Source organism: Homo sapiens, chromosome 14 (genome assembly GCF_000001405.40).
Source record: "Homo sapiens chromosome 14, GRCh38.p14 Primary Assembly".
NCBI classification, from domain to species: Eukaryota; Metazoa; Chordata; class Mammalia; order Primates; family Hominidae; genus Homo; species Homo sapiens.
Genome location: NC_000014.9, coordinates 103,019,083 through 103,043,782, shown reverse-complemented (window position 1 = coordinate 103,043,782; position 24,700 = coordinate 103,019,083). Strand labels below are relative to the sequence as shown.

The 24,700-nt window shown below is 45.2% G+C and overlaps 1 protein-coding gene and 1 pseudogene across 8 annotated transcripts in view, besides 3 other annotated features; one reads left to right on the top strand and one right to left on the bottom strand.

The window, feature by feature from the left end:
- The window catches only part of CDC42BPB (CDC42 binding protein kinase beta), a 125,170-nt gene that overhangs the window by 13,767 nt on the left and 86,703 nt on the right, over positions 1-24,700 (top strand). The gene's annotated exons all lie outside the window — the stretch shown is intronic.
- On the bottom strand, positions 1,657-2,347 carry RPL13P6 (ribosomal protein L13 pseudogene 6; annotated as a pseudogene).
- Positions 9,637-9,931: a silencer, noted in NCBI's record as "tiled region #14595; HepG2 Repressive non-DNase unmatched - State 23:Low". NCBI's record gives its function as "represses a minimal TATA promoter and a strong SV40 promoter by Sharpr-MPRA in HepG2 cells {active_cell/tissue: HepG2}" and the evidence as "EXISTENCE:reporter gene assay evidence [ECO:0000049][PMID:27701403]".
- Positions 20,221-20,488: a silencer, noted in NCBI's record as "fragment chr14:103489632-103489899 (GRCh37/hg19 assembly coordinates)". NCBI's record gives its function as "represses an EF-1alpha promoter that drives an FKBP-Casp9 reporter gene in an ReSE screen in HepG2 liver carcinoma cells {active_cell/tissue: HepG2}" and the evidence as "EXISTENCE:reporter gene assay evidence [ECO:0000049][PMID:32094911]".
- Positions 23,298-23,853: an enhancer, noted in NCBI's record as "H3K27ac-H3K4me1 hESC enhancer chr14:103486267-103486822 (GRCh37/hg19 assembly coordinates)". NCBI's record gives its function as "activates a minimal SCP1, AML or CMV promoter by ChIP-STARR-seq in primed H9 embryonic stem cells {active_cell/tissue: H9 hESC(primed)}" and the evidence as "EXISTENCE:reporter gene assay evidence [ECO:0000049][PMID:30033119]".

The following is a 24,700-nucleotide window of genomic DNA, read 5'->3' as shown; positions in this document are numbered from 1 at the left end:
GAGAAATTTAAGTTGAATTATACTGCTAATAGTTTATTTTAGTGAAGAAGAAAGGCTTCTCTGCCATTTACAATTACCAGATAATTTTTTTCCTTTTTTTTTTTGTAACAGCTTTATCGAGATTCAAGTCATGCATGATTTACCTGTTTAAAGCATACAGTTCAGTGTTGGTGTGTTTTAGTATATTCGTCGAGTCATGCAACCATCTTCGCCATCACCGCCAAAGGAACCCTGTAACCTTTAGCTATTATCCCCAACTCTACCCCCACCCCAGCCCTGAGCAACCACAAATCTACTTTCATTATATATCTGCCTGTTCTGGGTATTTTCTGTAAGTGGCGTCATATAATATGGGTCTTTCATGACTGACATCATGTTGTCAAGGTTCATCCCATGTTGTAGCGTATATAGTGCATTATCCCTTTTTATGGCCAAATAGTACTCCGTTGTGTGGACAGCTCTCATTTTGTTTATCCATTCATCAGTTGATGGACATCTGTTTACCTTTTGTTTATTTATTTGGTGTTTTTGTTTGTTTTCAGATGGAGTCTTGCTCTCTCTCTCAAGCTGGAGTGCAGTGGCGTGATCTTGGCTCATTGCAACCTCCATCTCTTGGGTTCAAGCGATTCTCCTGCCTCAGCCTCCCAAATAGCTGGGATTACGCCTGACTAATTCTTGTATTTTTAGTAGAGGTGGCTTTTGGCCGCCTAGTTGGCCAGGCTGGTCTCAAACCCCTGACCTCAGGTGATCCACCTGCCTGGGCCTCCCAAAGTACCTTTTGTTTATTTTTAATACCTATTCTCTGAACATTAATGTACAAGTTTTTGTGGGATATGTTTTCATGTCCCTCGAGTGTATACCTCAGAGTGGAATTGCTGGGTCGTGTGAAGGCTCTGTGTTGAGCATCCTGAGGAACTGCCAGGTTGTTTTCTACAGTGGTCTACATTCCCACCAGCAGCCCACAAGGGTTCCAGTTTCTCCGCATCCTTGCCAGCACTTGTTGTTTTCTGTCCTAGTGGGTGTGAAGTCGTTTCTCATTGTGGTTTTGATTTGCTTTTCCCTAATAGCGGATGTTGTTGAACATCTTTTCATGTGTTAATTAGACATTTGTATATCTTCTTTGGATAAATGTCTATTCAAGTTCTTTACTCATTTAAAAAATCGGGTTGTCTTGGCCGGGCATAGTGGCTCACGCCTGTAATCCTAGCACTTTGGGAGGCCGAGGCGGGCAGATCACGAGGTCAGGAGATGGAGACCATCCTGGCTAACATGGTGAAACCCCATCTCTACTAAAAATACAAAAAATTATCCAGGCATGGTGGCAGGCGCCTGTAGTCCCAGCTACTCGGGAGGCTGAGGCAGGAGAACGGCGTGAACCCGGGAGGCGGAGCCTTGCAGTGAGCTGAGATCACGCCACTGAACTCCAGCCTGGGTGACAGAGTGAGACTCCGTCTCAAAAAAAAAAAAAATTGGGTTGTGTTTTTGTTGAATTTTAAGAGTTCTCTGTATATTCTAGATACAAGCCCCATATTGGACATACGATTTGCACATATTTTCTCCCATTTTGTGGGTTGTCATTTCACTATCTTGATGGTATCCTTTGAAGCACAGGTGTTCTTAATTTTGATGAAGTCTAATTTAACTTATTTTTTTTAAACTGCTGATTTATTACAAGTCCCAAGAGGGCTTTATTTTTTGTCTTCAACATCCTGTTCTTCAGCTTCCTTGTCTCTTTGCCGGTATGCCAAAGAGCCGGGCGTCAGCATGGACCATGTGGAGACTAGCGAAGGCTTTGAAATTCTTCTCCTCGGTGATGACTTGGGCTTTCTCCTTCTTACAGACGTTTGGGATGGGCATGACCGGTCCTGTCAGCTGGGTGGCCAGTTTCAGTTCTTCAGCAGAACTGTCTCCCTTCCTGGTGGCCGAGGGCTTCCTGGGGTAGAGGGTGAGGTTGGAGTGGTGCTCCTTCAGCCGCCGCACCTTGGCCTGCAGGGACTCGGTGGACTCGTACTGCCTCCTTGGATCCACAGAGATGCTAATGGTCTGGGCCACCTTCTTGTGAATGCCAGCCACCCTGAGCTCCTCCAAGCTGCAGCTGCGGCCGGTGCGCACCTTGGTGTGATTTCGCACTGTGCGGCACCACACGATGGGCCGGATGGGTCCCAACGCGGTGTGCAGGGCAATGTGGGGCACTTTAGCTTGCCCGGCCTTGCATCTGCGGATCTTCGGGCCGGCTGGTTGAACCATGTGGCCACGAGCCAGCTGCCAGTCCTTGTGGAAGTGGGGCTTCCATGCCATTCTGGCTGGGCGCCATGGCTGCCTAGAGCCCCTTCTGTGCAGGAAAACAAATTTAAATATTTTTTGTTGTTTTTTTTGCTGTCATATCTAACAATCCATTGGCAGTGCAAGGTCACAAAGTTTCATACCTGTGTTTTCTTTTATACATGTGTTTTCTTCTAAGAGTTTTTTAGTTTTAGCATTTACGTTTAGTTCTTTGATCAATTTTGAATTAATTTTTGCTATGATACGAGGTAGAGGGGTTACATTCATTCTTTTGCACGCAGATAACCAGTTCCAACAATGTTTGTCGAACAGACTATATTCTTTCCCCCGTTGAATGGTCTTAGAATCCTTGTCAGAATCAGTTGACCATAAATGTATGAGTTTCTTTCTGGACTCTCGGTTGTATTCCATTAATATATGTGTCTCTTCTTATGCCAGTACCACACTGTCTTGGTTACTGTTGCTTTGTAGTAAGTTTTCAAATTAGGAAGTATGAGTCCTCCAACTTTGTTGTTTTTCAAGATTGTTTTGACAATTCTTTCTAAGTTCTTTGAGTTTCCATATGCATTTTAGGAACAGCTTGTCAGTTTCTAATAGTAAGCCAGCTGGGATTCTTACAAGGATTTCATTGAATCTGTAGGTCAATTTGGGGAGTATTGCCATCTTAACAGTATTAAAGTCTCTTGTCCCACGATCATAAGATGCCTTTCCACTTATTTAGAACTTTTAAAATTCAAATAAAGAATGGCTATGGTGGCTCACGCCTGTAATCCCAACACTTTGGGAGGCCGAGGTGGGCGGATCACCTGAGGTTAGGAGTTCAAGACCAGCCTGGCCAACATGGTGAAACCCTGTCTCTACAAAAATACAAAAATTAGCTGGGTGTGTTGGCAGCCGCCTGTAATCCCACCTACTCGGGAGGCTGAGGTGAAAGAATCGCCTGAACCCGGGAGGCAGAGGTTGCAGTGAGTCGAGATCACGCCACTGCACCCCAGCCTGGGCTTCAGAGTGAGACTCCATCTCAAATAAATAAATAAATTTAAATTTAATTGAAAAAAAGTTTCAGTTTTCAGAGTGAGAGTTGTTTAGTTTTCTTTTTAATTGGGGTAAAAATACATAAAGTTTGCTGCTTTAACTTTTTTTTTGAGACGGAGTCTTGCTCTGTCGCCCAGGCTAGAGTGCAGTGGCACAATCTTGGCTCACTGCAACCTCTGCCTCCCGGGTCCAAGCGATTCTCCTGCCTCAGCCTCCCGAGTAGCTGGGATTGCAGGCACCCGCCACGACGCCTGGCTAATGTTTGTATTTTTAGTACAGACAGGGTTTCACCATGTTGGCCAGGCTGGTCTCGAACGCTTGACCTCAGGCGATCCACCCACCTTGGCCTCCCAAAGTGTTGGGATTACAGGCGTGAGCCACTGCGCCTGGCCACTTTATCTATTTTTACGTGTTCAATTCAGTGGCATTAATTAAATTCACAGTGCAGGGGTAAGAGTTGCACTTACTTTCTTAAATTTATTCCTGAGGTAAATTGATTTTTATATATTGATCTTTTATCCTGCAAAATTGCTGAACTTTTTAATTAGTTTTAGTAGTTTTTTTAGTGAATTCATTAGAATTTTTACATAAAAAATCATATAAATTTTATATATAAAATTATCTCTGTGAGTACAGATAGTTCTGCTTCTTCCTTTTCAACTTGGATACCTTTAATTTCTTTTTGTTGTCTACTTGCCCTGCCTAGAACCTTCAGTACAGTGTAGGGTAGAAACAGCACTAGGGACATTCTTGTCTTTCTTCTGATCTTAGGGAGAAAGCGTGTAGCCTTCACCATTAAGTGTGGCATTAGCTGCGGGTTTTCATAAATGCCCCTTTTCAGGTTGAGGAAGTTTCCTTCTATTTCTAGTTTGTTAAGTTTTTGATGTGAAAGGGTGTTGGATTTTGTCGTGATTTTTCTGCATCCATTGAGATAGTTGTGTGGCTCGTTTTCTTCTGTTGATATGGTGTATTGCATTAATTGGTTTTTGTTTGTTGAACCAACCTCACATTCCTGGGATGAATCCCACTTGATCATGGTATATAATTCTTTCTCTGTGTTTGTGAATTTCGTTTGCTAGTATTGTATTTTGTTAAAGATTTTGGCATCTATTCATAAAGGTAATTGATTCTAGTTTTCTTTCCTTGTATGTCTTTTTTTTTTTTTTTTTTTTGGTTTGGTATCAAGATAATACTGGCCTTATAGAATGATTTAGGAAGTGTTCTCCTTTTTCTGGAAGAGTGTGAAGAATTGGTAATAACTCTTATTTAAATGTTTGGTAGATGCACCTGTGAAGCTGTCCAGGCCTGGATAGCTTTCTTGGTATTTTTTTGATTACTAGTTCAATCTTTGTGCCTGTTGTAGATCTATTAACATTTTCTCTTTCTTCAAGAGTCAATTTTGGTAGTTTGTGTCTTTTTATAAATTCGTCCATTTCACCTAGATTATCTAATTTGTTGGCATACAGTTGTTCATAGTTTTTCTTAATAATCTTCTTTACTTCTGTTAATGTCAGTAGTGTCCCTTCTTTTATTTCCATCCTAGCAATTTGAGTTGCTGCTGTTTTTTTTCTTGGTCAATCTCAAAAAACGGTTAAAATTGTACATTTTATGTTACGTATATTTTACCATAATAAAAGGTAATTGTAGCCTGTAATCCCAGTACTTTGGGAGGCTGAGGTGGGCGAATCACTTGAGTCCAGGAGTTCGAGACCAGCTTGGGCAACATAATGAGACCCGCCCCCCCCCCCCGTCTCTACAAAAAATAGAAAAATTAGCTGGGCATGGTGGTGCTCACCTGTAGTCTCAGCTACTCGGGAGGCTGAGGTGGGAGGATTGCTTGAACCCAGGAGGTGGAGTTTGCAGTAAGCCGAGCTCATGCTGCTGCACTCCAGCCTGGGAACAGAGTGATACTGTGTCTCAAAAAATAAAAAGTAATTGTAAGTAAGAGTAACTGAGATCCATCCACATGATTGGGTATAGCTGCAGCTTAGTTCCTTGTGGTTATTGTGTAGTGTCCACTGTATTCACAACCCTCTCTTTGTCCACTCCTGATGGACATCTGGGTTGCCCGCTTTGGGGCTATTAAGGAGTGCTGAAGTTGTTTTGGTTTTTTTTTTTTTTTTGAGACAGAGTCTCGCTCGCTCTGTTGTCCAGGCTGGAGTGCAGTGGTGTGATCTCGGCTCACTGCAAGCTCCGCCTCCTCCCAGGTTCACGCTATTCTCCTGCCTCAGCCTCCCGAGTAGCTGGGACTACAGGCATGTGCCACCATGCCCAGCTAATTTTTGTATTTTTAGTAGAGACGGGGTTTCGCCATGTTGACCAGGATGGTCTTGATCTCTCGACCTCGTGATCCACCCACCTCGGCCTCCCAAAGTGCTGGGATTACAGGCATGAGCCACCGCACCCAGCCAGTTTTTAAAATTCTTTTTTTTTTTTGAGACGGAGTCTTGCTCTGTTGCCCAGGCTGGAGGGCAGTGGCATGATCTCGGCTCACTGCAAGCTCCGTCTCCCGGGTTCACACCATTCTCCTGCCTCAGCCTCCCAAGTAGCTGGGACTATAGGCGCCCGCCACCACGCCCAGCTAATTTTTTGCATTTTTAGTAGAGACGCGTTTCACTGTGTTAGCCAGGATGGTCTCGATCTCCTGACCTTGTGATCCACCTGCCTCGGCCTCCCAAAGTGCTGGGATTACAGGTGTGAGCCACCACGCCCGGCCTAAAATTCTTTAAAAACTCCTCTCCACATATCTCTTGAGCCACCTCCCTTAGCTTTGGGCTTTACAAAGCCCTTAGCTTTGGGCCCGTCCTTGGAGGGCAGTTGTAGGTAAGCTGAGCTGCGGTTTTCTGTGATTTGGGATTGCCCCTCATACCATGTATTGAAAGTATCAGAATACCAATCACAAAAGGTACATTTGGCAAGTACTATTTTTATTTTAATTTTTTTTAATTATGAAAATAAGCCTGAGCGACATAGCAAGGCCCCGATTCTACAAATTATACAAAAATTAGCTGGGCATGGTGGTGCACACCTGTAATCCCGGCTGCTCGGGAGGCTGAGATGGGAGGATTGCTTGAGCCTGGGGAGGTCGAAGCTGCAGTCAGCTATGATTGTGCCACTGTACTCCAGCCTGGGTGACACAGTGAGACGCTGTCAAAAAGAAAAAGAAAAGCGTGCTCATGATAAAATAAATTTAAGCAGTACAAGAAGTAGGTATGCCACGAAAAGTGAAAGTCTCCTTCCCCCGAGTTTATTATAATTGTCTTTCTTGCTTTTTTATTTTAAAGCATGTTCTAGTCTTTTTCCATTAAAATTGAATGTTAATTTGAAAGATTGTTTTAAACATTAAAAGCTGATTTTGATAAGTCTAAAAGTCTGAGATGGCCAGACGTGGTGGCTCACGCCTATAAGAGGTGGGCAGATATACCTGAGTCCAGCCTGGGCAGCATAGCGAAACCCTGTCTCTACAAAAAAAAACACAAAAATTAGCTGGACGTGGTGGTGTGGGCCTGTGTCCTAGCTACTCAGGAGGCTGAGGCAGGAGAATTGCTTGAGCCTGGGAGGTCGAGGCTGCAGTGAACCATGATTGTGCCACTGTACTGCAGCCTGGGCGACAGAGCCAGACATTATCTCAGTAAATAAATAAAATAAAAAGTCACGACTTTTAATGAGAAATTAATGTTGAAATATGGTTATTGCATGTATCAGAACTGTGATTTTAGTTTGGCTATTTTTTATTGTCTGTATTGATATACATGCTATAGAATCATATGTGCATTCCCAGAATAAAACATGCTTAGCTGTGGCATTTTATTCTCTAACTGCACAGTTGAGCCTATCGTATTCATTTTTTTTATTATTTTTTTAAATCTGTATTTCCAAATGAGGAGTAGTCTGTAGATAGTCTGTGGTTTTAACTTTTGTATGTTATCTTTGGAATATTTTGGCGTCAGAATTACTGTAGTTTTAGGAAAAATTAAGAAGCTTTCAGTCTTGTGTTTAAGAATATTTTAGGCTGGGCGCGGTGGCTCACGCCTATAATCCCAGCACTTTGGGAGGCCGAGGCAGGTGGATCACGAGGTCAGGAGATCGAGACCATCCTGGCTAACATGGTGAAACCCCGTCTCTACTAAAAATACAAAAAAAAATTAGCCGGGCGTGGTGGCGGGTGCCTGTAGTCCCAGCTACTCGGGAGGCTGAGACAGGAGAATGGTGTGAACCCAGGAGGGGGAGCTTGCAGTGAGCTGAGATCGCGCCACTGCAGTCCAGCCTGGGCGACAGAGCGAGACTCCCACTCAAAAAAAAAAAAAAAAAGAATATTTTATTTTATTTTTATTTTTTGAGACAGAAGTACAGTGGCATGATCATGGCTCACTGCAGCCTTGACCTCCTGGGCTCAGGTGATCCTTCCACCTCAGCATCCCCAGTAGCTGGTACTACAGGTGCGTGCCACCACACTTGGCTAATTTTTGTATTTTTGTACAGATGAGGTTTCGTCATGTTGCCCAGGTTGGTTTCGAACTCCTGAGCTAAAGCGATCCTCCTGCCTTGGCCTTCCAAAGTGCTGGTGTATTACAGGTGTGAGCCACTGTGCCCGGCCTTATTTTTTTTTATTTTTTATTTTTTTTGAGACAGAGTCTTGCTCTGTCACCCAGGCTGGAATGCAGTGGCGTGATCTCCGCTCACTGCAAGCTCCGCCTCCCGGGTTCATGCCATTCTCCTGCCTCAGCCTCCTGAGCAGCTGGGACTACAGGCGCCCGCCACCACATCCAGCTAGTTTTTTGTATTTTTAGAAGAGATGGGGTTTCACCATGTTAGCCAGGATGGTCTCAATCTCCTGACCTCGTGATCCACCCACCTTGGCCTCCCAAAGTGCTGGGATTACCGGCATGAGCCACCGCACCTGGCTGCCTGGCCTTGTTTTTAGTATTTTGTAGAGTTGAAGTCTTACTATGTTGCCCAGGCTGGTCTCCAATTCCTGGGCTCAAGTGATCCTCCTGCCTGGCAGGCCTCCCAAAGTGCTGGAATTATAGGTGTAAACCACCACACCTGACCCCTGAAAAATATTTTAGAGAGTGAAATTTTAAAGTATGCATTTATAAAACCACTTGAGCTGGGCGCGGTGGCTCACACCTGTAATCCCAGCATTTTGGGAGGCCGAGGCAGGCGGATCACCTGAGATTAGGAGTTTGAGACCAGCCTGACCGACAAGGAGAAACCCCGTCTCTACTAAAAATACAAAATTAGCCGGGCATGGTGGCACATGCCTGTAATCCCTGCTACTTGGGAGGCTAAGCCAGGAGAATTGCTGGAACCTGGGTGGCGGAAGTTGTGGTGAGCTGAGGTTGTGCCACTTGCACTCCAGCCTGGGCAACAAAAGCGAAACTCCGTCTCAAAAAAAAAAAAAGTATAGAATTAATTGCTAGTTGCCCCTATTGAATGGTGGTATTTTTGAATACTGCTAGATCCTCAGTTGATCAGATTTTATAGTTTTTCTCCAATAGCATTTTAATAATAATTGGTTTGTAATATAAATAAAACTTTGTTTAATATTAAGGAAAGAAACTTTAAAAATCCAGGCTATTCTGAATTAGTATCCATTTCATAGTCCCCTCTACATCCCTTTTCTTTTCTTTTTTTTTTTTTTTTGGAGACGGAGTCTCACTCTGTCGCCCAGGCTGGAGCGCAGTGGCACGATCTTAGCTCACTGCAACCTCCGCCTCCCGGGTTCAGGGGATTCTTTTGCCTCAGCCTCCCAAGTAGCTGGGATTATAGATGTGTATCATCACACCTGGCTAATTTTGTATTTTCAGTAGAGATGGGGTTTCCCCATGTTGGCCAGGTTGGTCTCGAACTCCCAACCTCAGGTGATGTGAGCCACCTGCCTCAGCCTCCCAAAGTGTTGGGATTGCAGGCATGAGCCACCACACCCAGCCTCTACCTCCCTTTTCTTAACAGTTTATTTTTTTCCCGGCTATGGTAATTCCTGTTGTTGATTGTATTGCAAGTTTAATGATGCTTAAAATACTGCATTTATAATTTGAGAGAAATATTCTCAGTAAAATGAACTTTAAATGTTTTCATTTTTACTGTTTTTTAAATGTGTATTTTTAAAATGAGATAAGGTCTCACTAGTTGAGCCCAGGTTTGTCTCAAACTCCTGGCCTCAAGTGATCCTCTCACCTTGGCCTCCCAAAACGCTGGGAATAGGCATGAGCCATCACGCCTGGCCTTAAATGTTTTTAAAAATAAAGTTTGGTATGGAGAATTTTAAATGTTTCTTGTTTGTCCTAAAGCGTTCTCCAGTACCACATTGGAAAGGAAGACTTAGATAAACATTTTAACAGTAAGAGAGTCGCCATCTTAGACTTTTTGAAAGTCCAGTCAGTCCAAAGGGCCTGTATCAATCAGATGCAGGAGATGGAGACAGATATGTTACGCTGAATACTGAAGCTGTTTGCCATGGCAGCTTTGTAGAATCCGTACAGAAGTTTTATCAGCTCATAAAACTGCTTTATGACCCAGAAGGAATGCCAGCAATAAAACAAACGTACTCATGGCAAATACACCAGGCGTGGGGCTGATTTTCCTGCCGCAATGCACTTCCAGTGAGGAAACTGCTGTGTGGTTTGGGGCAGGAGCTTGTAGTGATTTCGATTCAATCTTCCTGTTTTGGGTATTTGTAAAAGGAAACTAATTTTTCAGAAACTTCTAGCTGGTATCCCATGTCACTCAGCCATCCTCTATTTAAATATTATTGAAAATAGTGATGAGCTCATGTATGAAAATGTCATTCTTCCTTTTTTGGAGTCTCTTGAGTTTTTTATATGGTGGTATTTGTGTAATGAGTATTAATAAAAGTGATAGTAATTGGTAATATTTCCTATTCAAATTTCAAAGTTTAAAATTTCAAATAGGAAATTTCAGATACCTTTAGAAGTAGAGCAGCTGGGTGCGGTGGCTTACACCTGTAATCCCAGCACTTTGGGAGGCCGAGGTGGGTGGATCATGAGGTCAGGAGATAGAGACCATCCTGGCTAACACAGTGAAACCCCGTCTCTACTAAAAATACAAAAAAATTAGCTGGGCATGGTGGTGGGCGCCTGTAGTCCCAGCTACTTGGGAGGCTGAGGCAGGAGAATGGCGTGAACCCAGAAGGCGGGGCTTGCAGTGAGCAGAGATGGCGCCACTGCACTCCAGCCTGGGTGACAGAGCGATACTCCGTCTCAAAACAAACAAAAAAACAAAAATAAAACAAAAAGAGGTAGAGCATATAGAATAATGAACCACCAGTTTCAACAGTTATCAACTCACAGTCAGTTGTATTTCACTTTTATTCCCTTTCCCCAAAAAGGATTATTTTAGGAAAATCCCAGAAATCTGTCATCTCATTTGTAAATATTTCAGTGTGTGTCTCAAGAAGATGAGGGTTTTCTTTAAAAACATAGCCATAATAATATGACATTAAAAAATAACAGTAATTTCTCAATATCATAAAATAGTCATTGTTTAAATTTCCTTTTTTTTTTTTTTTAAAAAAAGTGGATTTGTGGCCGGGCACGGTGGATTATGCCTGTAATCCTAGCACTTTGGGAGGCTGAGGCAGGTGGATCATCAGGAGTTCGAGACCAGCCTGGGTAACATGATGAAACTACTAAAATATAAAAATTAGCCAGGCGTGGTGCTGCATGCCTGTAATCCCAGCTACTCAGGAGGCTGGGGCAGGAGAATTGCTTGAACCCGGGAGGCAGAGGTCGCAATGAGCCTAGATCACACCACTGCACTCCAGACTGAGTAACAGAGCGAGACTCCGTCTCAAAAAAAAAAAAAAAAAAAAGTGGATTTGTTTTATAGGCATTTGGATTGTACACCTCCTTAATCTCTTTTAATCTGTAAGCTCTTTCTCTCTCCTTTTTTTTTTTTTTTTTTTTTGCAGTTTATTTGTGGAAGAATTGGCATTTGTCCTGTCCTGTTCAAAAGTTTTAACTGGTTTCTAGTGTTTTCCTAGCTGGACAAATTTGGCATTTGACAGATCATTCCTATACTATTGGCCCAGTATATTTTGTGGGAAATAAACTATTTGGGGGTTCAATCGATGTAAAAAAAAATAGGCATTTCTGATTTCATTTCAGATGTTGCAGTGGTAAAGTATATTCCAGTCAGGAGCTGGTGAGGCCTGAGGCCCAAGTGTGCACCCACGCGGGGTTGCAGAGAGGCCGAGAAGTGCGTTATTACCTCCCTTCTCCTTGGTCCTCGTGGGTGGGCATGAGAGGTTGGATCTGTCACTCTGAGACAGCAGAGGGGGACAAGGAGAAGTGAATGAAATACGTGTTGCTTCTCCAGGCCTTCATATCAGAAACACCTGCCGCTGCCCTGAGGCCACAAGGCTGGCCGCCGGCTGGTGCTCTTGGCTCCCTCTGCTGCTTGCTGGGTGAGGATGCCCTGGGCTTGTGGCATTTTTCTTAAAAAAAAAAAAATAATAATAATAATAATAGAAGGCAGGTCTTATAGTAGTTGTTCACTGGAGACACTTTGGAGTTGACAATTAGTGAGGACTCAACTTTTTAAAATGTGATCTTAAGCTTTTTGATTTTTTAATTGAAGTTCAGAAAAATTAGTTGATACTTGTCCACCCATGTGAGTGATGCTGTAGTCTCTGGTACATCAGCTTTTTAGTTGGTTTCCGGAATCCAGCCCTTAGAAGCCAGACGGGTTGGGCATTCTACCTGCACATCAGGCTGCACAGAGGCTGGGCCTTGGTGCTGTTGGGAGCCCCAGGCCCTTCCTGCTGAGAGCACTGGGGAAAGGCCTGCGTGTGGGCGCCTGTAGAGAAATACCAGGCTCATCCCAAATTGGAAATCGCCAGACGTTCTGGAAAAGTACAATTTTCATAATCAAATAAACCCTGGTAGTATAAATCTTGTATTTTTACTGCAGCGTTTGTTTAAGGAGAAGCATTTTTGACAGCTCTTGTAGCTTGTGAAAGGAAATGCAGACTGCACAAAGCTAGATGTCCTTTTGCAAAATGTTAAACATTTGCTGACTTTGCCGTAAAGTTTTATTGATTATTTGGAAAGCTCTTTCATTTGTTGATTTTAGTGTCTCATCTCTAGGCATCTGGTGAAAAGGGTAGTTTTCCTGGCTTACCAATTACTTTCATGAAATCAGAAGAACATTTTCAAGTCTTCTGTGAAAACATCCTTCCTTCCTGTTTATTACTGCGTTTACGTGGGGATGGTGAGCCAAAGATGACGATACAGGAGCACACTGGCCATCTTTCTCTGCTTGGTGTCTGGGTCATGTACTTTTTTTATTTCATTTCCTTCATGCCGGCGTTTTTATAATACTGAAAAATATCAGCATAAAATATTTTTTTTAATTAAAAAAAAAGTAACTCAGAAATGCTTAGGTTCAGTTGGATATGTGACATATTGGAGGTGGGTAGTCTGGCAGCCAATCTGAACACTTTTGTGTGTGTGTAGAGACAGGGTGCCACCGTGTCACCCAGGCTGGAGTGCAATGGCTCAGTCTTGCCTCACTGCAATTCCCACCTCCTGGGCTCAAGCCATCCTCCCGTCTCAGCCTCTCGAGTAGCTGGGACTGTAGGTGCATGCCACCACACTGACCTAATTTTTGTGAATTTTTTTGTAGAGACGGGCTTTCGCCATGTTGCCTAGGCTGGTCTGGAACATCTAGGCGTAAGTGATCTACCTGTCTCAGCTCCCACAGTGCTGGGATTATAGGTGTGAGCCAGCCCTGAACACTTTTTTTTGAGATGGAGCCTCCCTCTGTCACCCAGGCTGGAGTGCAGTGATGGGATCTGGGCTCACTGCAACCTCCACCTCCCAGGTCGAAGTGATCCTCCCGCCTCAGCCGCCCAAGTAGCTGGGACTACAGGCGTGCACCACCACACTCAGCTAATTTTTATATTTTTAGCAGAGATGGGGTTTCACCATGTTGGCCAGGCTGGTCTTGATCTCCTGACCTCGGGTGATCCACACACCTTGGTCTCCCAAAGTGCTGAGATTACAGGCATAAGCCACTGTGCCTGGCCACCTGAACACATTTAATTGTTGAGGCTGAAATAAATAACATTTAAAATGAGTGAAGCCATTGTTATCCAAACTATGCTCCTCAAACTTTCTTTGCCTCTTTTTTAAAAGAACCAGATTCTTCTAAACATTCTTAAATGTTTTAAAAAGAGGTACCATTTCCACCTTCAACCTCATTGGCCATGAGAGGGCTTTGATACCGTGCTGGGCACGCCCCATGGAGATGGGCGACTACTGGTCACTCCTGTCGGGCAAGGTGAGGCCGGGCTGGCCGCTCCACGCTTCTCCTCTGTTCAGGAAGGAAAGTGAGCGCCTCACTCTGAGGGCGGTTTGCTTGGTGGCCCTTCCTCTGGTTCAGGAGCAGCCACCCTGTGAGAGCCAGTTAGGCACTGGGAGGGTTGGAGTTGCTGGCTGGAGAGCCCCTCAGGTGCTGGGAGGGCTGGAGTTGCTGGATGGATTGCTATTGCTGTTTTGAATATTGCTTCCCGCTCACATGCGTGTCTGGCCACTGAGGGCTCCAATCTAGCATTTCTTTTTTTTTTTTTTTTTTTTTTTTTGGAGATGGAGTCTCCCTCTGTCACTAGGCTGGAGTGCAGTGGCGCGATCTCGGCTCACTGCAACCTCCGCCTCCTGGGTTCAAGCAATTCTCCTGCGTCAGCCTCCGAAGTAGCTGGGACTACAGGTGCACACCACCACACACAGCTAATTTTTTTTTGTATTTTTAGTAGAGACGGGGTTTCACCATGTTGGCCAGGATGCTCTCGATCTCTTGACCTCGTGATCCGCCCATGTCAGCCTCCCAAAGTGCTGGGATTACAGGCATGAGCCACCACGCCTGGCCAATCTAGCATTTCTTTTTTTTTTTTTTCCTTTGAGACAGAGTCTTGCTCTGTTGCCCAGGCTGAAGTGCAGTGGCACAATCTCGGCTCACTGCAAGCTCCGTCTCCCAGGTTCATGCCATTCTCCTGCCTCAGCCTCCTCAGTAGCTGGGATTACAGGTGCCTGCCACCACGCCCAGCTAATTTTTTTGTATTTTTTAGTAGAGACAGGGTTTCACCGTGTTAGCCAGGATGGTTTCGATCTCCTGACCTCGTGATCCACCCACCTCGGCCTCCCAAAATGCTGGGATTACAAGCGTAATTTAGCATTTCTTTAGCCTCACTTCTCTGGTGCTGGATTAGGTCCTAGAAGTTTCATATAATTAGCAACAGTATTTTTTCTTCCAGAGACATACTTATTCCTCATGCAGAAATGCAGAGTCAATGTCTAAATAAGGTAAAAGATTGAAGGAATTTTGGATAAGAGAAAATTTCCCATAAAAATGTTTACTTTTATCCTTTTTTTCTTTTTTAACACCATAGTATTCCTGACATATTGACTATTCAATTTAGAAAGATTGGCAGTTGGACTCAGATAATTCAGTACTTGGCTCTGGACAGTTGTTAAGAACCCTGCTGAAAATGGTTTATATGCAGAAGGTTTCAGCAACTCAGATCAACTCTGCTGATCTCAGGATCTATGCTAGGATGAAAAAAAGTCCCTGGCATGAATTTGTTTTTCTTGTCACTAGTATTTTCCAGTTGAATGAGTTTAAAAATAATAAAAGATAAAATACAAATAAATAACAGCCCTATTAAGGGAGAATTGCATGTACTTGTATTTAGATAGGAGAGTATGTTCTGGATGTCCAAGTTCATGGGCACAGAATATAGAAGGAGGCAGGTGACGTAGGAAGAACCTTCTGGAAGCTGTGGGTTTCTTTTCACTCACATGCACCTGTTGAGCGCCAGCTGTGCACCAGGCACTGAGCTGCACTGCAGACGGGCGTGTTCCTGGGAGGGGCTTCCATGCTGTTTCTGTGGGAAAGGGGAAGCCCAGCACATCTTCTGTGATGCGTATGTGATCACAAAACGATTAGGCTGGCTCTGCGTGCTGGGGCTGTCTCAGAGCCTGGCACTGCTCATTGTTGACATCCACTGTCACATTCACCCACAGTTCTGGGATTATCCTTAATTTACCCACAAGGAAACTGGAGTTCATGCTCAGTATTTTGCAACACAGTAAGCGGTGAAGTCTGAAGGACTCAGGTGCTTACTCGTAGCCACAATGTCTTGCTTCATTTCAGGAATATTTTTAAATACCTTTAATACTTTTTGAATAAATTAATGAATCGTGCACCCAAGTAGTCTCTGTTGTGACCCCCTCATGTGTGGTACACACTGTTGTGACCCATATCACAGATTCGTTGTGCTTGGTTTTTTATTATTGTTTTATTTACTTATTTTTGAGAAGGAGTCTTGCTCTGTCACCCAGGCTGGAGTGCAGTGGCACAATCTCAGCATATCACAACCTCTGCCTCCCAGGTTCAAGCAATTCTCCTGCCTCAGCCTCCCAAGCAGCTGGGACTACAGGTGCGCACCACCACGCCTGGCTAATTTTTGTATTTTTAGTAGAGATGGGGTTTCACTATGTTGGCCAGGCTGGCCTGGAACTCCTGACCTCAAGTGATCCACCTGCTTTGGCCTCCCAAAGTGCTGGGATTACAGGCGTGATCCACCACGCCTGGCTTTTTGATTTAAGTGTATGATTTATTGGTTCTTACTCTATTCACACATTTGTGCAGCTCTCACCGCTGTCTAATTCTAGAGCATTTTCATTGCCCCTGAGCCTTGTACCCATTAGCAGTACTTAGCATTCCCTCTCCCCAGCCCCTGGCAACCACTAATATACTTTTTGTCTCTATGGATTTGCCTATTCTGGACATTTTATATAAATGGAATCATACTATACGTGGTCTTTTGTAGCTGGCTTCTTTCATTTAGCATAATCTTTTCAAGGTTCATCCATGTTGTATTGTTATTTAATTACTTTCTCTGGCTGAATAGTAGTATTCCATTGTCTAGGTAGACCACATTCTGTTTATTTAGCTATCAGTTGATGGACATTTCGGTTTTCACTTTTTGACTATTACGAATGATGCTGCTGTGAATATTCATGTACAAATTTTTTTTATATTAAATTTTTTAAAACCTGGTTCTTAGTAAACATGCAGTGTGCAAGTTTTGGTGCAGACATGCTTTGATTTCTCCTGTTTATATACCTAGGGGTGGAATGACGGGTCATGTAGTAACTGTGTTTAGCACTTTGAGGAACTGCCAGGCTACATCATTTTACAATCTCACTAGCAGTGTGTAAGAGTTCATCTCTCCACCTCATGGCCAACGCTTGTTATGATTTGTCTTTTTTATTGTAGCTACCCTAGTGGGTGTGAAGTGAGGTCTGGTTACAGTTTTGATTTGCATTTCCCTGATTGCGAATGACTTTGAGCATCTTTTTCTGTGCATATTGGGCATTTGTATTAATATATCTTCTTTGGAGAAATGATGATTCAGATCCTTTGCCCATTTTTAAATTGGGATATTTGTCTTTATGAGTGAGTTGGGAGAGCTTTTTGTGTATTCTGGATGTAAGTCCCTTATCAGATATGTGATTTCAGATATTTCCTACGCTTCTGTTGTTTGTCTTCTCACTTTTTTTTTTTTTTTAATGAGACGGAGTCTCACTCTGTCGCCCAGGCTGGAGTGCAGTGGCGCGATCTCAGCTCACTGCAAGCTCCGCCTCCCGGGTTCACGCCATTCTCCTGCCTCAGCCTCCTGAGTAGCTGGGACTACAGGCACCCGCCACCATGCCTGGCTAATTTTTTAAAAAATATTTTTAGTAGAGACGGGGTTTCACTGTGTTAGCCAGGATGGTCTCGATCTCTTGACCTTGTGATCTGCCCACCTCAGCCTCCCAAAGTGCTGGGATTACAGGTGTGAGCCACCCATGCCCAGCCATCTTTCTTAATGGCTTCTTTTGAACATTTTTTTGTTCAGGTTTGGTGTTTGTAGTTAAAAAACAGAATGATTTTTATTTTGGTGAAGTTTAACTTACCTGTTTTTCATGTTTTACCTGTAAGAATCCATTGCCTAATCCAAGGCCACAAAGATTTACATGTGGTTTTTTGTTTTGTTTTGTTTTGTTTTTGAGACGGAACCTCACTCTGTCACCAGGCTGGAATGCAATGGCGTGATCTCGGCTCACTGCAACCTCTGCCTCCCAGGTTCACGCGATTCTCCTGCCTCAGTCTCCTGAGTAGCTGGGACTACAGGCATGTGCCACCATGCCCAGCTAATTTTTGTTAGTAGAGACGGGGTTTCACCATGTTGGCCAGGATGGTCTTGATCTTTTGACCTCATGATCCACTCACCTCGGCCTCCCAAAGTGCTGGGATTATAGGTGTGAGCCACCACGCCCAGCCGTGTTTTAAGTGTTTCGTAGTTTGAGTTCTTACATGTAGGCCTTCAATTCATTTTGAGTTAATTTTTTTGTATATGGTGTGAGGTAGGGGCGCACAGTTATTCTTCAGCATGTGGTTGTCCAGCCACCCCAGTACCATTTGAAGATGCTGTTTTCCCCCATTGCATGATCTTGGGGTTGTGTCTGTTTCTGAGTCTCATGTAATGGAATCCTGCAGTATTTTGTGTCTGGTTTTTTTTTAGCTTCACATACATCCGTGTGATTCATCAGTGTTGTGTATGACAGGAGTTCATCCTTTTTTTTTTTTTTTGAGACAGAGTCTCGCTCTGTCACCCAGGCTGGAGTGCAGTGGCTTGCTACAACCTCTGCCTCCTGGGTTCAAGCGATTCTCCTGCCTCAGCCTCCCTAGTAGCTGGGACTATAGGCATGTGCCACCACGCCTGGCTAATTTTTGTATTTTTAGTAGAGACAGGGTTACACCATGTTGGCCAGGCTAGTCTTGAACGTCTGACCTCAGGTGATCCACCCGCCTCGGCTTCCCAAAGTGCTGGGATTACAGGCATGAGCCACCACACCTGGCTCCTCCTTTTTTTTTTCTTTTTTTTTTTTTAATGTGTACTAGTTCATTACATGAATACTACAGGTTATCCACTCTTCTGTGAGTGGACATTTGGGTAGTTTACAGTTTTTGATAATTATGAGTAAAGCTGCTTTGAACATTCTTGTGTGTGTCTTTTTGGTAGACATACCTGCTCACTTCTCTTGGGTGTTTACCTGGGAGGGAATTTCTGTGCCGTAGGGTACACATATGTTAGCCTAAGCGATCCAAGTGCAATTGGTGGGGGAGAGGGGTGGCACATCGGACAGTGTGCTTGCTTACAGGAGAGTGAAAGAATTGCTTACTTGAATTACCAGTTCTCAAGTAATTTGAAAGACACAGTTCACCTTAAACTAAAATGATACTTGCTGCATGGACTGTCAATTCTTCAGAAGATGGTACTAATCATGACATTAGGAGCAGCTGGTATTTTACTGTGCAGAAAGAAAACCAGACTTTTCTGAATTCACAGCAGTGACACAAAGAAATTTCAAAATATACTGTCTACTAGATTAAGTTAAGAGCAACAAGAAAAATGAGTGGAGTTAATTTTTGCCTCTGAATTTTAAAACTGACACGTAAAAAGTCTTATGTGGGGAGTAAAGACAAATAACAAGGGATTAAAAATACCAAACATTTAGACTGGACCCAGTGGCTCACGCCTGTAATCCCAGCACCTTGGAAGGCCGAGGTGGGCAGATCACTTGAGCCCAGGAGTTTTGAGACCATATGCCTGTAGAGATATTATTATATAACATCCCTGACCCATATGTAGATGTTCAGAAAGTGGAAGCTGCCATTAGCAATGGGTGGGTTGAATATTTCATCAAATATTTAGGGTATAAGAGAATAAAAAGCAAATTGAAAGTATTAAAAGATCCTGCCTTCTCAAGTCTGTCAAATAGGAAGGACTATGTTATAAGCTTGAATTAATCCTAAGAGTTTGGTGGATGTTACGAATAGTTGCTAAAAATTCCCCAAATTACTAATTACTGAAGTTAAGTTGCTCTCCTTTGAACCTTATTTACTGATGCTTTGCAAACTTTTTACTTTCTTACATTCAAAACTCTTCCTCCCTGCTTCTTAATGCGGGGTAGGAAGCATTTAATCACTGTAGATACCGTTTAATCACTGTACTTTGTTATGAGTGCTGTGCCCACTGTCTTCTAGAAGTGTATTAGCAAGTCTCAGTCTCAAGGGTTAGAGAGCCAGGAAGAGTAAGTTAGGACGGACTCTGTTACAGAACTCTAGAGGCCAGAGCATTGGGGCTCCTTTCTGTCCTTCCGCCTCAGTTAAACAGAGACAAGTCCGAGGCCTTCCAGGAGGAAGATGCGTAGACGGTTCTCTTCCTGGCTGTCACGTCGTCCTTCCTGTCCTGGCGGTCCCAGCCCAGTTTGGAGTGTGTGGGAGAGCGTCTCTGTATATATTTAGGACTACTCTGGCGTTGTACTAGGAAGGAGTGAGGATTCATTCTCGATTTCTCATCCTGCTCCAGTGCAGCAGCTGAGCTCATTTCCTGTGATCCTGTTCCTGGGGCCGGGGTGGGCACCGCCCCCATCAGTGCTGCTGGTGTGAAGGGTCCTGCCCAGCTGACATGGGGGCTCCCTCTGGGACTAGATTTCCCTGCACTGTGTGCTGCCTTTTGTCTTTGAAAATTGATCTGTGCGTGATCTTAAATACCTCTGTTTGGCGAGCTGCAAAATCTGCATATTAGAATATATATATTCTGCATATTAGAAGATATATATTTAATATAATACCAGTAGTTGACTTAATAAAAGTGTATATGTTTATGAATATATTTTCTTTGTCAAAACTAAAGTTTTTACTCGAAAATCAGTTAAAAAAAGGAAAAAATTAAGAAAAACCAGTGAGTAAAATTATTAATTTCTACCAAAGAAAAAACAATTAGGATCAGGTATAGTGGTTCATGCCTGTAATTCCAACACTTTGGAAGGCCAAGGTGGGAAGATTACTGTAGCCCAGGAGTTTGAAACCAGTCTGGGCAACATAGCAAGACCCCGTGTCTACAAAAAATAAAAAATTAGCCACTGCCAGGCATGGTGGCTCATCCCTGTAATCCCAGCACTTTGGGAGGCCAAGGCAGGTGGATCACCTGAGGTGAGGAGTTTGAGACCAGCCTGACCAAGAAGGTGAAACCCGTCTCTACTAAAAATAGAAAAAGTAGCCAGGCATGGTGGCAGGCACCTGTAATCCCAGCTACTCGGGAGGCTGAGACAGGAGAAATGCTTGAACCCGAGAGGCAGAGGTTGCAGTGAGCCGAGATCGCGCCAGTGCACTCCAGCCTGGGTGATGGAGTGAGACTCCATCTCAAAAAAAAAAAAAAAAATTAGCCACATGATAATGCGCACCTGTAGTCTGCTACTCGGGAGACTGAGGGGAGAATCACTTGAGCCCAGGAGATAAGGCTGCAGGGAGTGAGCCGTGATCACGCCACTGCTGCTCTCCAGCCTGGGGGACCCTGCCTCAAAAAAAAAAAGAAAAGGAAAAGAAAAGAAAAAAAATAGCTATATCTGTGGGTTGCTGCTTTTTTCATGGTGTGTAAATGAACAGTTCTTAAGAGAACTGGTGTGGACTGGTGCAGTGGGAGCCTGAGGGGGGTGGGTGAGCCCATTCCAGAGAAACACCCCCTACTGACTGGGTGGAGGCACAGATGCAGCAAGCACCAATAATGTTCGTTTCAAGGAATTGGCTGTGTTCTCACAATTGCTTATTGAAGCTTGGGGCGTTTATTTTGTCACCCTAGAATTTAATTTATGGTTTATTGTTAACACTTAAGCCAGTGAGAATGAACTTGTCTCCAGCCTCTGTGATCTCTGGGTGATACCCTGCCCCCTAACAGCTGGATCAGTTGACGAGTGTGATGTGAGCACCCGTGGGGAATGGGCCAGCTTTCCGTCTATGCCAAGATGAGTGGTGTTTTTGTTTGTTTTGTTTTTTAAACAAAACACTTTGGTGAAAATGATTTCAAACATCTCCCGGGCGTGGTGGCATGTGCCTGTAGTCCCAGCTGCTTGGGAGACTGGGAGGATCCGTTGAGCCCAGGAGGTGGAGGCTGCAGTGAGCCGTGATGGCATCACTGTGCTCCAGGCTGCCGACAGAGTGAAACCCTGTCTCAAAAACAACAGCAACAAGAACTCTTCAGGGTTCTCTCTTCTGTCTCCACCCCACCTCTCTCATTCTCAAAAGGCCAATCAGACTTCTGTCCCCTGCCTCCCTCAAAACTGCTGCTTTTGTCAAGGCCACCTGTGGTCTCCACGTGGCAAAAGCCAGTAGGTAATTCCTGGTTGTCATCCACCTTCCAGGATGGAAGTCCTGGCTTTCTCTGCACCCTGCTGGCTTCTCTTCCCCGCAGCCACCTCATGTCGAAGCCCCCCAGGGTTCTGTCCTTGGCCCCTCCCCTCTCTCTGCTGACTTCCTGGTGATCTCATCCGATACCAGCTGTACACTGGGCACCTTGGGCTTCTCTCTGGAACTGCATCACCTGTCCAGCTGCTTCCCTGCCACTCAGCCCACCAGCCTCTGTCAGCCTTCCCATGCAGGCAACTCCAGCGTCCTAGTGCTTGGCCAGTGCTCTGTGCGAGTGTCAACCTGCACGCCCCATCCAGCAGGAAATCCGCTCGTCTCACTTTCAGGAACAGCCAGGATCTCACCGCTGCTTCTGACCAGACTGCTATCGCCTGCACCACATGATCCCCGCCTGTACCACACGACCCCCGCTCTGGCCCACCCCGCTCCTCAGGTTTTCTCAGACTCAATCTGTGGTCTCACTTGTCTTCCTGTCTTTTGCATCTGAATGTTCTTTTTTTTTTTTTTTTGAGACTAGGTCTTGCTTTGTTGCCCAGGCTGGAGTGCAGTGGCACGATCTCGGGTCACTGCAACCTCTGCCTCCTGGATTCAAGCGATTCTGCCTCAGCCTCCCAAGTAGCTGGGACTGCAGGCACGCGCCACCATGCCCAGCTAATTTTTGTATTTTTAGCAGAGATGGGGTTTCACCATGTTGGCCAGGATGGCCTTGATGTCTTTTTTTTTTTGAGACAGTCTCACTCTGTCACCCAGGCTGGAGTGCAGTGGCGCGATCTCAGCTCACTGCAAGCTCCGCCTCCCAGGTTCACGCCATTCTCCTGCCTCAGCCTCCCAAGTAGCTGGGACTACAGGTGCCCGCCACCACGCCTGGCTAATTTTTTTAAAAAATATTTTTAGTAGAGACGGGGTTTCACTGTGTTAGCCAGGATGGTCTCGATCTCCTGACCTCGTGATCCACTCGCCTCGGCCTCCCAAAGTGCTGGGATTACAGGTGTGAGCCACTGCACGCGGCCACATCCACGTGTTCTTAAAGGGCTCCCTTTTTAATCCTCTAAAGTCTCAAGTTGCATTAAGTTAAAATTTAATGGTTGTTCTTTTTACAGCGTTATACTTCCTGGTTATCAGCCTGTGCTCCTATATCAGCTAGAGCTCCTATTTAGAGAACTGTATTTGGGGTTAAGAGGGCTTGTGGGAAGAGTCACTTTTCTCAGACTCGTGATTCCTGATGAGAGGGGTCTGTGGCTGGCTCCTTGCAAAGGCAGTATTCTGACATCTTACAAAAGAGCTTAGTTATTGTGAAACAAAGAAAACACATTTTGTGTAATTTGAACACATTTTTCTAAAACTTTGTGATAGGTACTAATCTTCCGTAGCTGCGTCAGCCGTCTGAACCGTAAGAATAAATTCCAAGCCTTTGGAGCTGTGAACTCTCTCCAGGGTGGTCCTGTGAAGGCGCCTGCATTCCCTGCCACGTGCGGGCCAAGGCGCTGACTCCTGGCACACGCCCTGTGCTCTCTCTCTCACGGGGGTTCAGCATGTGCCCCGTCCACTGTGGCTGCACTCCTTGGTCCCTGGGGTGCTGCTCTGGCCCCTTCTCTCTCTGCAGGAGGTCCGGATGCATAGCGCGTCAGTGTGCCTGGGCCCTCGCACACATCCATACCTTCTCTAGCCTGGCCTCTGGCCCTCGGCCTCCGCGTAGGTCTTGCTGGGCCGTCGGTAGGTGCCTCCCCTGCAGCTGCCCCCGCGCTCCAGCAGCTGTGGAGGTGCTGCTCCAGGCAGGTGTGGGTCCTGCCATCTCTTGAAGGGACGGAGTGGTAGCTGGCGGTTACAAGGAGAGGACCTCAGGAGAGAACCACGCTGTGGGTGGAGTTGACGACTCGGGGGCGAGACGTCTGTCCCTTGTGTCCTCTGCATGTTGCTTGGCCATTGGGGCCCTGTTCACCTTCATTGGTAAAAGGTATTATTCGTAATGGATAACCTGTCAGACTCTTTCCAATTCCAAATGTATTGATTGTGGCCACAAAGCAGCTGAGGCCCAAACAGTCAGGGTGGCACGGATGAACAGAACCATCCAGGGGGAGGCGGAGAGCTTCTGCCGGACAGGGGAAAGCAGGACTTCCTGCCCGCCTGCCTCAGGCTTCAGCTCTTGACACCGTCCTCTTTCCTCAGACCCTCCCACCCTGGGCACTCCTTCCAGCTGGTCTCATCTTGTTTGATTTCACAATGGTTTTCTGTCAGTTTTAGACAAAGATCCTCCCTCCGCCTGCAGTTCTTCTTGGCAAAGCTTTTCCTATTTAAAGGGAGCACTGGGCTCCATTTTGCCTTACAGTTTAGATCTCATATTTGTCGGTGGTTACACTTGATTGATTAATCCATTGTTTTCTAGAGCATCAAGAGAAGTTCTTTAGGGGACAGTTCGGGGTAGGAGGAATGAAGAGATTGATGAGGAGAAAATTTCTCCAGTAAAAGTTAAGCTGTCTAAAGGCTAAAGCTTTATTCAGCCTTTTGGATGGAAAATCTCCCAAGATGTTGAATGTCCTTATCTTAGGAGGGGTGCGAACCCCCTGTGTAGAGAAGGCCGCCCTTTGGTGATGACTCCTCGTGAATGTCAGTTGCCACATGCCATAGACACAGGCAGCTGTGCTGAAGGAGTCCTGTCAGCGTGGCAGGTCCAGGGGAGCAGCGATCAACCCTGCCTTAGAGCCTGGTGAGGAAGACGGGCAGGAAGAGGTGGCTTTGTGCTGGGTGAGGGCTACGGGCTCTTCAGGAGAAGTCTGAGATGATGCCCAGGTGCCATGGCTGACGCTGTGGGTGATGGTGTGGGCAATGCAAGGCGTGGTGGACAGTAGCCTCCCAGTTGCTGCAACTTGGAGCCTTGTGAGTGCTGGCTGGTTAGCCTGGCCCAGCTTCTGAGCTGCAGGGCGGCCGTGTCTCTAGGGCCTTAGCATATTTCAGGATGGCCAGGTGTGGTAGCCCACCCCTGTAATTCCATCACTTTGGGAGGCCAAGGCGGGAGGATCACTTGAGCCCAGGAGTTCTAGACCAGCCTGGACAATACAGCAAGACCCCGTCTCTAAAAAAGAATTAGCTGGCATGGGAGCATGCCTGT